Below are 14,052 nucleotides of genomic sequence, written 5' to 3' on the forward strand. Positions count from 1 at the left end.
ATAGTCTCGGCTCACTGCAGCCTCCGCCTCCTGGGTTCAAGCAATTTTCCTGCCTCAGACTCCCGAGTAGCTGGGATTACTGGTGCCTGCCACCATGCCCAGCTAATTTTTGTATTTTTAGTAGAGACGAGGTTTCACCATGTTGGCCAGGCTGGTCTCGATCTCCTGACCTCAAGCCGTCTGCCTGGCTCAGCCTCCCAAAGTGCTGGGATTACAGGTGTGAGCCACCACACCTGGCCCATTGATTTATTTTTTTCAAATGTTAAACCAACCTTCCATTTGTGAGATAAACCCTACATGGACAAGACATTGTTTTTATATGTTGCCAAATTTGTGTCTGTTTTTTTTTTTCAGTTTGTTTGGTTTTTCTTTTTTTTTTTGAGATACGAGTCTGGCTCCGTCCCCCAGGCTGGAGTGCAGTGGTGCAATCTCGGCTCACTGCAAGCTCTGCCTCCCTGCAAGCTCCGCCTCCCGGGTTCACACCATTCTCCTGCCTCAGCCTCCTGAGTAGCTGGGACTACAGGCACCCGCCACCACGCCCGGCTAATTTTTTTGTATTTTTAGTAGTGACAGGGTTTCACCATGTTGGCCAGGATGGTCTCAAACTCCTGACTTGGTGATCTGCCTGCCTCGGCCTCCCGAAGTGCTGGGATTACAGGCTTGAGCCACCGCACCTGGCCTGTTTGGTTTTTGAGTTGGGGTCTTGCTTTGTTGCCCAGGCTGGGATGCAGTGATATGTCATAGCTCACTGGAGCCTCAAACTCATGGGCTCAAGTGATCCTCTCACCTCAGCCTCCCAAGTAACTGGGACTACAGGCATGTGCCACCATGCCTGGCTAATTTTTAAAAATTTTTTGTAAATACAGGGTCTCGCTATATTGTCTAGGTTGATCTTGAACTCCTGGCCGCAAGTGATCCTCCTGCCTTGGCCTCCCTAAGTGCTGAGATTACAAGCGTGAGCTACCATGCCTGGCCCTTTGTCTGTGTTTATTGAGGAACGTTGTGTGTGTGTGTGTGTGTGTGTGTGTTTAATTTTTAAAATTTAGTTATATCAGTTACTTAGGCCAGAGGGATGTTAAAATCTCTATGATTATAGCTCTTTTCTTTTCTTTTTTGTTTTTGAGACAGGGTGTTGCTCTGCCACCCAGGTTGAAGTGCAGTGGCACAATCATGGCTCACTGCAGCTTCAACCCGGGTTCACACAATTCTCCCACCTCAGCCTCGTGAGAAGCTGTGACTACAGCTGTGCACTACCACACCTGGCTAATTTTTGTATTTTTCATAGAGACGGAGTTTCACCATGTGGCCCAGGCTGGTCTTGAACTCCTGGGCTCAAGCACTCCACTTGCCTCAGCCTCCCAAAGTGTTGAGATTACAGGCGTGAGCCACTACGCCCAGCCACTTTTTTTTTTTCCTTTTTATTCAGTCAGTTTTTGTTTCTTATATTTTGAAACTGTATTGTTAGATACACATACATTTATGATTGTTATTATAGGGGAGGGAAAAATGGTTTCCCTAAGTTCTTTAGCTGGGTCATTAATTTAGTTTACATGAGACAGATTAACAGGAGAAAAAAAAACTTTTTTTTTTTTGAGATGGAGTCTCGCTGTGTTGGCTGGAGTGCAGTGGTGCAGTCTCGGCTCACTGCAACCTCCGCCTACTGGGTGCAAGCGATTCTCCTGCCTCAGCCCCGCAAGTGGCTGGGATTACAGGCACACGCCACCATGCCCGGCTAATTTTTGTATTTTTAGTAGAGATGGGGTTTCACCATGTTGGCCAGGCTGGTCTTGAACTCCTGACCTCATGATCCACCCGCCTCGGCCTCCCAAAGTGCTGGGATTACAGGCGTGAGCCACCGCACCCAGCAGAAAAAAAATTTTAATTATGTGTGCATGCGTGCATACGTAGGAGTCCCACAAAAATATCAGATTAAAGGGCCAGATGATTGACACTTACGTAGCAGCTTGAGCTATAGAAAGGAAGAGAGGCTTGGGACTTCTAGGGGGTGGCAGAAACAAATTATGGGCAAGCGAGGGGAAGAAACATATGGTGAATACAAATTGCCTTGTTATGTAGGTAAAAATCTCTGTAATTGTCCTGGCCTATGCTTTTTCTACTCCCCTCTGCTTTTTTGGTCCCCCTGTGCTCAGTTCTAACAAGGTAGTCTGGCAGGACACACAGCAGTCTCCTTCAGTTTAGGAGGACTGTCTTTAGAATAGAGCTGTCCCAAGGCACAAGATTACAATTTTTAAAAAAATGTTTTTCAGGTGATAAGTGGTATTGGAGCAGCTCTCTTCTTGGTAGACTTACTTTTACTGATGAAAATTGTTTTGGGGCCGGGCGCGGTGGCTCACGCCTGTAATCCCAGCACTTTGGGAGGCCGAGGCGGGCGGATCACGCGGTCAGGAGATCGAGACCATCCTGGCTAACACGGTGAAACCCCGTCTCTACTAAAAATACAAAAAAATTAGCCGGTCGTGGTGGCGGGCGCCTGTGGTCCCAGCTATTTGGGAGGCTGAGGCAGGAGAATGGCGTGAACCCGGGAGGCGGAGCTTGCAGTGAGCCGAGATCGCACCACTGCACTCCAGCCTGGGTGACAGAGCGAGACTCCATCTCAAAAAAAAAAGAAAATTGTTTTAGAGATGGCAGGTTTTCTTTACAGAAGGGAAAGTTTTCAGAGCTATTCCTATATCTGCAGTTTCTCAATATACTCATCTTGAAATAATTAGTATGTCAAAGGGGTATATTTTGGAATGACATATTCTGGTCACCTAAAGTTGTATTTTGGATACACCTACTATGTACCCACAAAAATTAAAAATTAAAAAAATTGTTTTAAGTTGTATTTTGGGGTGGAGTGCCCTGAGCCCCAACATTGATAAGTTGGCTATTTTGTCATTATGAAATGTCCCTCTTTATCTTAGTCATACTCTTTATATTACAGTTTACTTTATGTGATATTGCTATAGACACTGCATTTGTCTTATACTTACTTTTTACATGGTATATGTTTTTCAATCCTTTCCCCTTCAGCCTTTCTATGTTTCTGTATGCTTTGTAGACAGCCTATAATTGGGTCCTCTTAGGTGATTCATGACTGTAATCTCAGCACTTTGGGAAGCCAAGGTGGGCGGATCACCTGAGGTCAAGAGTTCAAGACCAGCCTGGCCAACATGGTGAAACCTCGTCTCTACTAAAAATAAAAAAAAAATTAGCTGGGCGTGGTGGCATGTGTCTGTACTCCCAGCTACTTGGGGAGGCTGAGGCAGGAGAATTGCTTAAACCCAGGAGGCGGAGGTTGCAGTGAGCCTAGATCACGCCACTGCACTCCAGCTTGGGCAACAGAGTGAGACTCTATCTCAAAAAAAAAAAAAAAAATTGGTTCTCTTAATCTAGCCTGATAAGCTGCCTTTTAATTAGAGCCTTTAGTTCATTTATATTTAATGTAATTATTGATTTGATTGGATTAAGTCTATACTTTTACTATGTAAATTGAAAATTAATTGGATGTTCTTTAGAATTCCATTTTAATTTGGTCGTCTTCTTCCTTCCCCATCTGCTTCTCTAATTCACTGGCAATGGACATCATAAAAAAAGACTACGTGCCAGTGGATTCAGAAAGATTTATAATTTTCTTGGATAAAGTATCTGGAAATTTTTTAGAGTCATAATTGTAGAAACTTAGAATTATCTCTTAGTTGTTTTGGTTTTTTTTTCTTTTTTTGAGACAGAGTTTCATTCTTGTTGCCCAGGCTGGAGTGCAATGGCGTGATCTGGGCTCACTGCAACCTCTGCCTCCAGGGTTCAAGCGATTCTCCTGTCTCAGTCTCCTGAGTAGCTGGGATTACAGGCCCCCACTACTATGCCCAGCTGATTTTTGGTATTTTTAGTAGAAATAGGGTTTCACCATGTTGGCCAGGCTGGTCTCAAACTCCTGACCTCAGGTGATCCGCTCGCCTTGGCCTCCCAAAGTGTTGGGATTACAGACGTGAGCCACCGCGCCTGGCCATCTCTTAGTTTTTTTAAAAAATCAACTTATTTGAGATATAATTTGTATACAAAAACATACTTATTTTAAGTGTACATTTTGATGAGTTTTGACATATTAATTATGCATGTAAACGCCAACACAATCAAGGTATAGCACATACCTATTGCTCTACAATGCTCCCTGTATTCATTTTCAGTCACTGCTCTCTCATTCTGCCGTTCCTAAGTAAACACTGAGCTGTGTCTGCCACTATAGATTACACTTATCTTTTCTAAAGATTTGTATCTGGCTTCTTTTACTCAGTATATTTTTGAGATTCATCCATGAGGTGGTAGATATCAATAGTTTATTCCTTTTTAATGCTGAGCAGTAGTCTATTGTATGAATATTTCACAATTCATTTACCCAGTTAAAGGTATTATAATTATGGCTCCTGTTTGTAATGAGAAGTCATGGACAATTCACATTCTCTTTCCCTCTGTGTATTGTGTCATTTTTTTTCTGTAGTTTATTTCAAGATTTTCCACTTATCTTTAGTTTTCAGCAGTTTGACTTTGATTTGCCCACATGCTGTTTTCTTTGTACTTTTCCTGTTTGGAGTTTTCTGAGTTTCTTGATCTGTAAAGTTACGTCCTTCACCAAACTTATGAAATTTTCTTTCTTTCTTTTTTTTTAAATTTGAGACAGGGTCTCACTCTGTCACCCAGGCTGGAGTGCAGTGGTGCAATCTTGGCTCACTGCAACCTCTGCCTTCCAGGCTTAAGCGATCTTCCCGCCTCAGCCTCCCAAGTAGCTAGGACCACAGGCGTGCACCACCATGTCTGGCTAATTTTTGTATTTTGTTCAGAGACAGGGGTTTGCCATGTCGCCCAGGCTGGTCTCGAATTCCTGGGCTCAAGTGATTTGCCTTTGTTGGCCTCCCAAAGCGCTGGGATTACAGGTGTGAGTCACCACACCTGGCCAAATTTATGAAATTTTCTGACATAATTTTCAAATATTTTTTTCTGCCCTATTCCCCTTTTTCCTCCTGGGACTCCACTGTCAGGTGAGTTAGACCTTTTGATATTGTCCGACAGCTCACTGAGGCTCTCTTCATTTCTTTGCAATTTTTTTGTTCTATTTCTCATATTGGATAATTTATTTATTTTCTTTCTTCTTTTTCTTTTTTTTTTTTTGAGACAGAGTCTCACTTCTTCACCCAGGCTGGAATGCAATGGCACGATCTCGGCTCACGGCAATCTCTGCCTCCTGGGTTCAAGCAATTCTCCTGCCTCACAAAAAAAAAAAAAAAAAAAGGTTGGGGGCCAGACATGGTGGCTCATGCGTGTAAACCCAGCACTCGCTGTGGTGCCCAGGCTGATCTCAAACTCTTGGGCTCAGACAGTGCTCTCATATCAGCCTCCAGAGTATTGAATTATAGGCGTTCTTTATACATTCTCTATAAGTGATTTTATCAGATATGTATTTCACCAGTATTTTTTTCTGGTTTGTGGCTTGCCCTTGCATTTTTGTAACAGTGTCTTTTGAAGCACAAAAGGCAAAATTTTGATGAAGTCTCGCTTGCCAGTTTTTGTTGTGGTTCATGTATTTTGTGGCCCAAGAAATCTTTGCCCAACCCAAGATCACCTTCTTCTTGGAGGTTAATAGTTTTAACTTTTACATTTAGACCTATGATCTATTTTGAGTTAATTTTTCAATCTGGTATGAAGTAAGGGTCAGGGTTCATTTTCTTGGTCAGGTGCAATGGCTCACACCTGTAATTTCAGCAGTTTGGGAGGCCGAGGTGGGTGGATTGCTTGAGCTGAGGAGTTGGAGACCAGTTTGGGCAACATAATGAAACCCCCGTCTCTACAAAAAATACAAAAAAAAGAAAAAAAGAAAATTAGCCGAGAGTGGTAGTGCATGCCTGTGGTCCCAGCTACTTGGGAGGCTGAGGTGGGAGGATTGCTTGTGCCCAGGAGGTGGAGGTTGCAGTGAGCTGAAATTGCACCACTGCATTCCAGCCTGGGCGACAGAGCAAGATCATGTCTGAAAAAAAAAAAAGGCTTATTTTTTTGGTTATAAATATACATACATGTTCCAGCACCATTTGTTGAAAAGATTATCCTTTCCCCATTGAGGTACCTTGGCACTTCTGTAGAACCTAAAATGACCACTGTTGGGGAAATACAATTTAAAAAATGAAAATCTTCTTGCATCCCAGAAAACCTCTCACTAAGGCGGTAGAGAAAGACAACAGTTTTATTATTGAATAAACATTAAATCAGATGTGATGCACATCACAAATCCACTGAGATATTGCAAAGACTGATAGAATCTTACTCCCTTATGTAGGTAGCCAAGCCAAGGTAACCCTTTACAATACACACTTTTAAGATAAACAATTGTTAGTCCTCAAGTAAGAGGACTTGACAGCACCATTTGTCACACATAGTTTGTCCTAACTTTATTATGGTAATTGGGGAGACCACCTGTACTGGCTTTATCTGGAGGAGAAACAAACTGTTCTTAGTCATATTGTTCTGACAGGAGGTGGTTCTGTAAATTGGAGCAAGGTGCTCTTCAGAGTTAGGCTCTTACCTTCCTACTGGGAACTGGGAGATAGGGAAGCTGTCTCCTTTGATGTTTGCATTTCAAAAAGATGGCTCCCAGGTCCTTGAAACATTCCTGATTTGTGTGACTATTTTTGGCCTTTAGAAAGATTTACGTATATTTGAAAAGGAGAGTGAAAGAAAATTTGAAAGACAAGATTGGGGTCGGGGGGAGTCTTTTTTATTATTTTCAACAGGGAGAATTAAATCTCTTATTTTTAATTGTATTTTCCCTTATACCACATAAGTGTGGCTCTGTTTCTTTACTGTCTATTCCATTACATCGATCTGTTTGTCTTTCCTTGTAACTGTGTAGTAAATGTTGAAATCAGTGCATCTTCCAGCTTTGGTGTTTTTTCCAAAATTGTTTTGAATATTCTAGAGACTTTTTATTTTCATATACATTTTGAAATCAAATTATCAGCTTTTACAAACAGCTTGCTTGGAATTTGATTGGGTTTGTATAGAATCTGTAGATCAGTTTGGGAACAATTGACATCTTAACAATATTGAGTCTTCTGATTCATGAACATGGAAGAGCGCTCTTTTTCTTCTTGGCAATGATTCATAAGTTTGAGAGGCTATAGGGTTAAAGAGGGAAAGCGTTCTCTTTGCCCTCTAAAAGTTCACTAAAAATTAACTGACAGAAGGTAGATTAATAGGATAAAAAAGCATATAAAATTTATTTCATGTGCATAGTAAGCACAGGGGAATTGCAGGAGAATGATAACCCAATAAAGTCCAGATGCTTATATACCTACCCTTCTTTAACAGGGAAGGGGAGATGAAGGTTATAAGAGTAAATTATTTTCAGGGGAAAAGAATGAGCCCAAATGCTGGGTGCAGTTGCTCATGCCTGTAATCCCAGCAGCTGGGAGTCTGAGGGAGGAGGATTGCTTGAGGCCAGGAGTTTGAGACCAGCCTAGGCAATGTAGCTAGAATTCATCTCTAAAAATAAAAAATGAAAAATAAAAAAAAGAATGAACCTAAACAACAATGGCCTGGGACAAGGTTCTTTTGAACTTTGGGGGAGGTGGCAGGAAGATGAGGGGCAGAACTTCACTGTGAACAAAAGTTGTCTTTCTTTTTTTGAGACAAGGTCTCACTCTGTCACCCAGCCTGGAGTGCAGTGGCATGATCATGGCTCACCACAGCCTCGACCTCCCCAGGCTCAGGTGATCCTCCCACCTTAGCTTCCTGAGTAGCTGGGACAATAGGTGTGTGCCACCATGCCCTGCTAATTTTTGTGTTTTGGGTAGAGATGGGATTTTGCCATGTTGCCCGGGCTGGTCTCGAACACCTGAGCTCAAGCAATCCACCCGTCTCGGCCTCCCAAAGTACTGGGATTACAGGCGTGAGCCACTGGAGCCACTGTGCTTGGCCTAACAAAGGTTGTCTTATGCCTGTTGTTTCCCAGGTAATCTGTCTGAACTGTCCTCAGAAGCATACAGATGTCCCTAACTTACAATGGTTTGACTTACGATTTTTCCACTTTATGATACTAGGAAAACAATACACATTTTGTGTACTCCTTGACTTACTATGGGGCTATGTCCAGAAAATGTCATCATAAGTTGAAACTATCATGAGTCAAAAATCAACTTACCCAATCAATTTACAATGGGTTTATTCGGATGTAACCTCATCATAAGTCAGGGACCATCTATAAATGAAAAGTCTTACCTGGACGTGTTGATGACTTCCAGTCTCTTCTCTTCTCTGGTAGTGAATCTTTCATTGTTGTTTGGTGAGATTCCTAGGTGGGGGATCTTAAGACAGTTGCATTTCTTTTGCAGAGATAAGAATTTTCTTAGATAAGGAAATTCCAAAGATAATCCCTCTTGGTGCTTCTGGAAAGAGGACCAGAGAGATGGGCTTGGGGGAAGGTTGGAGATAGACCTTGGTTCTGAGGCTTATTTCTGAGGCTTTTCAATTTTCTTTTCTTTTCTTTTCTTTTTTTTTTTTTTTTTTTTTTTTTTGAGTCAGGGTCTTACTCAGTTGCTCTGTTGTCCAGGCTGCAGTATAGTAGCACGATCACGGCTGACTGCAGCCTTGACCTCCTGGGCTGCGATGATCCTTCCACCTTTGCCTCCCAAGTAGCTGGGCCTACAAGCATGTGCCACCACACCACTCTAATTTATTTACTTATTTTAATTTTTTTGAGATGGAGTCTCTGTCTGTCACCCAGGCTGGAGTGCAGTGGCACGATGTGGGCTCACTGCAACCTCCACCTCCCGGGTTCAAGCAGTTCTGTCTGCCTTAGCCCCCCACTCCCCCACCCCCCCGGTAGCTGGGACTACAGGTGCCTACTACCACACCCGGCTAATTTTTGTATTTTTAGTACAGACAGGGTTTTGCCATGTTGGTCAGGCTGGTCTTGAACTCCTGACCTCAGGTGATCCACCCGCCTTGGCCTCCCAAAGTGCTGGGATTACAGGCATGAGCCACCTCACCCAGCCTAATTTATTTTTATTTTTTGTAGAGACAGGGTCTCACTGTGTTGTGCAGGCTGGTCTCAACTCAAATGCCTGGACTCAAGCAGTCCTCCTGCCTGTGCCTCACAAAGTGTTGGGATTACAGGTGTGAGCCACCACATCTTGCCTCAGTTTTCTTTTTTCTTTTTTTTGAGACAGAATGTGGCTCTGTCCCCCAGGCTAGAGTGCAGTGGCATGATCTTGGCTCACTGTAGCAGCCCCTGCCTTTTGGGCTCAAGTGATTCTCCTGTCTCAGCCACCCAAGTAGATGGGATTACAGGTATGTGCCACCACGCTTGGCTAATTTTTGTATTTTTAGTAGAGACAGGTTTTTGCCATGTTGCCCAGTCTGGTCTCAAACTCCTGTGTTCAAGTGATCCGCCTGCCTCAGCCTCCCAAAGTGCTGGGATTACAGGTGTGAGTCACTTCGCCCAGCCAGTTTTCTTTAATTCAAAGCATCGTATTTTGGGGTATCGTTTTCTGTACCCTAACAAGGCCAAGAAGACAGCTCCTACTCTTTGTATTATGCCCTCAAAATTCTAGCCACCTTGGCCTCTGTGAACCCGTTTTTGTCTCTTATTTAGCAACAATGCCAGCTCTGTTTGCATTTGCCGTCCCTGTGCTGCAGACTGGAAACTGCCTCCAGGCAGTGAGCTGGAGCAATTGTAGGGCTGCTTTCATGTGTATTCCTTTCTCAATGATCATAGTCCTGTGCTGCCTATTGTCCAGTGTTTGAAAACATTGTTTCATATGTTTTGTCCAGTTGTTTAGTTCTTTAGGGCCACAGGATAAATCTGTCCCTGGTACTCCATTTCAGGCAGAAGCAGAGTCCTAAATTATCTTCTGGACAGGTTAAATTTGAAGTATTTGCAGGATATCCATGCTAGTATGTGTAGTAAACATTAGTGGAAAAGGAGCTAGAAATGAAGCTAATGGCCTGGATAGTGTACTAGGAGTTGATCAGTTCTCATTAATTCCTTGTGAAGGGTTGGAATGGTGATTAGAAAGGAGGTCGTGGTCACAAAATGACAGAACAAAGTTTGAGGTGTTTTTTTGTTGTTGTTGTATTTTGTTTTGAGACAGGGTCTCGCTGCATCATACAGGCTGTAGTGTGATGATAGCTCACTGTAGCCTCTACCTCCTGGGCTTAAGCAGTCCTCCCACCTCAGCCTCCCAAGTAGCTAGGACTGCAGGAGCACACCACCGTGCCCAGTTAATCTTTTTATTTTTCTTAGAGGCGAGGGTCTTGCCATGTTGCCCAGGCTAGTCTTGAACTCCTGGGCTCAAGTGATCCTCCTACTTTGGCCTTCCAAAGTGCTGGTAGCCAGGCATGGTGGTATATGCCTGTAGCTACTTGGGAGGCTGAGGCAGGAGAATCACTAGAGCCCATGAGTTTGAGGTTCCAGTGAGCTTACGATTGTGCCACTGTACTCCAGCCTGGGTAACACAGTGAAACCCTGTCTCTAAAAACAACCACCAACCACCACCTTGAGCCACCTTGCCTGGACCAAAGTTTGAGGTTTTCAGTGTAGACTTTCCGTGTGTTAATATGGTTTAAGGGGTGGCTTTGCTGCCAGAAAACCAAACACCGCATGTTCTTACTCATAAGTGGGAGTTGAACAGTGAGAACACATGGCCACAGAAAGGGGAACAACACACACCAGGGTCAGTTGGGGGGGTAGGGAGGAAGAGGAGGGAGAGCATTAGGACAAATAGCTAATGTATGCGGGGCTTAAAACCTAGATGACGGGTTGATAGGTGGAGCAAACCACCATGGCACATGTATACCTATGTAACAAACCTACATATTCTGCACTAGTATTCCGGAACTTAAAGTAAAATTAAAATTTTTTTTTTTTTTTTAAAAAGAAAGAAATGGCTTTCCTGGTAGGCAATTGTCAAGGAATGAAGTTTAGGAGGAGGAAGAACTCCAAGGTCTTAGTCTCATATGGATCATGAATATGGATATTGAGTTCACAAAGGTTGTTGTAAAGGGTAGAAAATAAGGAATATGACTAGATGCTAAAAATTATCCATGTGGGTAGAGATGAGATGGGAGTATAGTAGATTAGAGGTGCTGAAACATTTTAGTCTAAGGACCCTTTTAAACTCTTAGTAATTAACAAGGACCCCAAAGAGGTTTTGTTTATATGGATTTTATCTATCAGTATATACTGAACCAGAAATTAAAACTGAGAAAAAATTTAATATTTATGCATTAATTTATTTTAAAATAATAAACCTATGTGTTAAATAGCATATTTTCTATGAAAAATATTTTTCAGATAAAGATCAGTTTAGTTAGAATAATAATATTGTTTACATTTTGTAAATCTCTTTCATGGAAGAAGCTTACTTATCTGCTATATTTAATTGATTGCAATATATTGTTTTGGTTGAAATATATAAAGAAAATCTGATGATATGCAGATAAGTAGTTGGAAAGCAAAGAGTATTTTAATAGCTTTTAAAGATAATTGTGGATATTCATCTTTGATACTATGCCAAAACTTGGTGTGTTGGTGTCTTAAAGTTAAGTTGCATTGTGGGATCTGAAACCACATCAATAAACATTTTGCTTTTATTTTCAAATTTGTTTTATTATTATTATTATTATTTTAGTTTTATTCCTGGCAAGCTGTGAAGTTTTTTATACTAGTACATTAAAATCTATTTGTTTACCTTGAATTTTGAATGGATATTTTGTATGTTGTATGGGGAAGAGAAACCTTTTCTCTACCTTCTTATGTTCAGAGATTAGGGCCCGAAAATTAAACTGACAAAATGTTATACAACCAACAAGTTTATATGACCACTGTGCAGTAGTAGATCAGTTACATTGAAACAGCAGGGTTTGCAGCAGAGAAAGAGTTTAATGATTGCAGAGCATTGAGTGAGGACATGGGAGGAGACCCTCAAATCCATTTCCCCTGAGGAGTTATGGGCTGGTATTTTAAGTTTTAAGGGGATTGTGGAAGGTAAGGGGCGGGAAAATTGAGGTCGTTGATTGGTTGGGATACGGGGGATGAAATCATCAAGATGTGGAAACTGCATTCTTTGGTGAGTCAGCTCCTCTGGGATCCTTCAGACCAACTGGCGTCAGTGGGGTCCTTCAGACAGGCTGATGTCAATAATTTCACTGCTATGCAGGATCTGAAAGAATATCTTAAAGGGAAAACTTAATGTTTTATAATGTTCATGTTGTCTATAGAACACTTAAGGGGAACTTTAATCTCGTAGCAGGGTCTATGTGATTCTGAGGCAGCAGGCGCAAAACACTGGTGAAGTAGCTAGTCAGAGAGCAAGCTGACCTCATGATAAACACTGCATGTGCTGCAAGCCTCGTTTATTTTCGTTTCTCCCCCCTCTTCTTCCCCGATGAATTTCATACAGTTTATAGGGACAGTTTCAAAATAACAGATTAACAGGAGGGAAAAACAGTTTATTTACATGTGCAATGTGCATACACATGGAAGAACTCAGTGGTGGGTAACTCAAAGGAGTAGTTAGTTAGAATTTGGGGCCAATATGCTATCTTACTAGATGAAGGGGAGAGAGGAGAAAGCCCCTAGTACTGGGAAAACAAATGACTTCTTTTTTTTTTTTTTTTTTTTTTTGAGATGGAGACTTGCTCTTGTTGCCCAGGCTGGAGTGCAATGGCACAATCTTGGCTCACTGTAACCTCCGCCTCCTGGGTTCAAGAAGTTCTCCTGCCTCAGCCTCCTGAGTAGCTGGGATTACAGGTGCCCACTACCACACTCGGCTAATTTTTTTTTTGTATTTTTAGTAGAGACGAGGTTTCACCCTGTTGGGCCAGGCTAGTCTCGAACTCCTGACCTTAGGTTATCTGCCCACCTTGGCCTCCCAAAGTTCTGGGATTACAGGCGTGAGCGACCGTGCCCAGCCATGGCTCTTTTTTTTTTTTTTTTGAGACAGAGTTTTACTCTTGTTGCCCAGGCCAGAGTGCAATGGCACAATCTCAGCTCACTGCAACCTCCGCTTCCCGGGTTCAAGCAGTTCTTCTGCCTTAGCCTCCCAAGTAGAACACAGATGGGCGCCATGATGTCTGGCTAATTTTTGTAAATTTTTTTTTTTTGTAGAGACGGGGTTTTGCCATGTTGGCCAGGCTGGTCTTGAACTCCTGACCTCAAGTGATCCACCCACCTCAGCCTCCAGAAACAACTGAGATTACAGGTGTGAGCCACTGCACCTGGCCTAGTGGCACATTTTTCAAGATAGGCCATATGATAGGCTACAAAACAAGTCTTAATATTTTTTAAAATAGAAATAATATTAAGTGTTTTCTCAGACCCTAGCAGTATAAAACTAGAAATCAGTTTGAAGAGGAACTCTCAAACCTATAGAAATTAGAAATTAAACAACCTGTCCTGAATGATCTTTGAGTTAACAATGAAATCAAGATAGAAATTAAAATTTTTTAAAAATGATTGATAACGGTGACAGAAGTTATCAAAATCTCAGATACAGCAAAAGCAATACTAAGAGGGAAGTTTATAGTGCCAAATGCCTTCATCAAAAAGACAGGTCACAAATTGACAGTCTAATAATATCACACCTCAAGGAACTAAAAAAACAGGAAGAAACCAAACCCAAAGCTAGCAGAAGAAAAGAAATAACAAAGAACAGAACTAAACAAAATTGAAACCAAAAAATACAAAGGATCAATAAAATTAAAAGTTGTTTCTTTGAAACGATAAGCAAAAATAATAGACCATTAGGTAGATTAGCTGTGAGAGGATTCAAATAAACTTAGTCAAAAATGAAAATAGAGATACCATAACTGATACCACGGAAATAGAAAAGATCATCTGAGACTGCTGTGAACACATATATGTATACAAACCAGAAAACCTAGATGAACTGGATAAATTCCTGGAAACACACAACCCCCCAAGCTTGAACCAGGAAGAAATAGAAATCTTGAACAGACCAATAGCAAGTAGTTTGATTGAATCAGTAATTTAAAAAATCTCCC

General features: G+C 41.9%; 1 protein-coding gene and 1 non-coding gene across 4 annotated transcripts in view, besides 1 other annotated feature; both read left to right on the top strand.

Annotated features, from left to right (window-relative positions):
* RNF214 (ring finger protein 214) overlaps positions 1-14,052 on the top strand; it is a 53,784-nt gene that overhangs the window by 29,036 nt on the left and 10,696 nt on the right. The window lies entirely within an intron of this gene.
* LOC124900313 (small Cajal body-specific RNA 11) lies at positions 2,093-2,246 on the top strand. Its single transcript, XR_007063007.1, has one exon.
* Positions 7,271-7,817: an enhancer, noted in NCBI's record as "H3K27ac-H3K4me1 hESC enhancer chr11:117139693-117140239 (GRCh37/hg19 assembly coordinates)". NCBI's record gives its function as "activates a minimal SCP1, AML or CMV promoter by ChIP-STARR-seq in primed H9 embryonic stem cells {active_cell/tissue: H9 hESC(primed)}" and the evidence as "EXISTENCE:reporter gene assay evidence [ECO:0000049][PMID:30033119]".

The sequence above is a fragment of the Homo sapiens genome, chromosome 11 (assembly GCF_000001405.40).
Source record: "Homo sapiens chromosome 11, GRCh38.p14 Primary Assembly".
Classification (NCBI taxonomy): domain Eukaryota; kingdom Metazoa; phylum Chordata; class Mammalia; order Primates; family Hominidae; genus Homo; species Homo sapiens.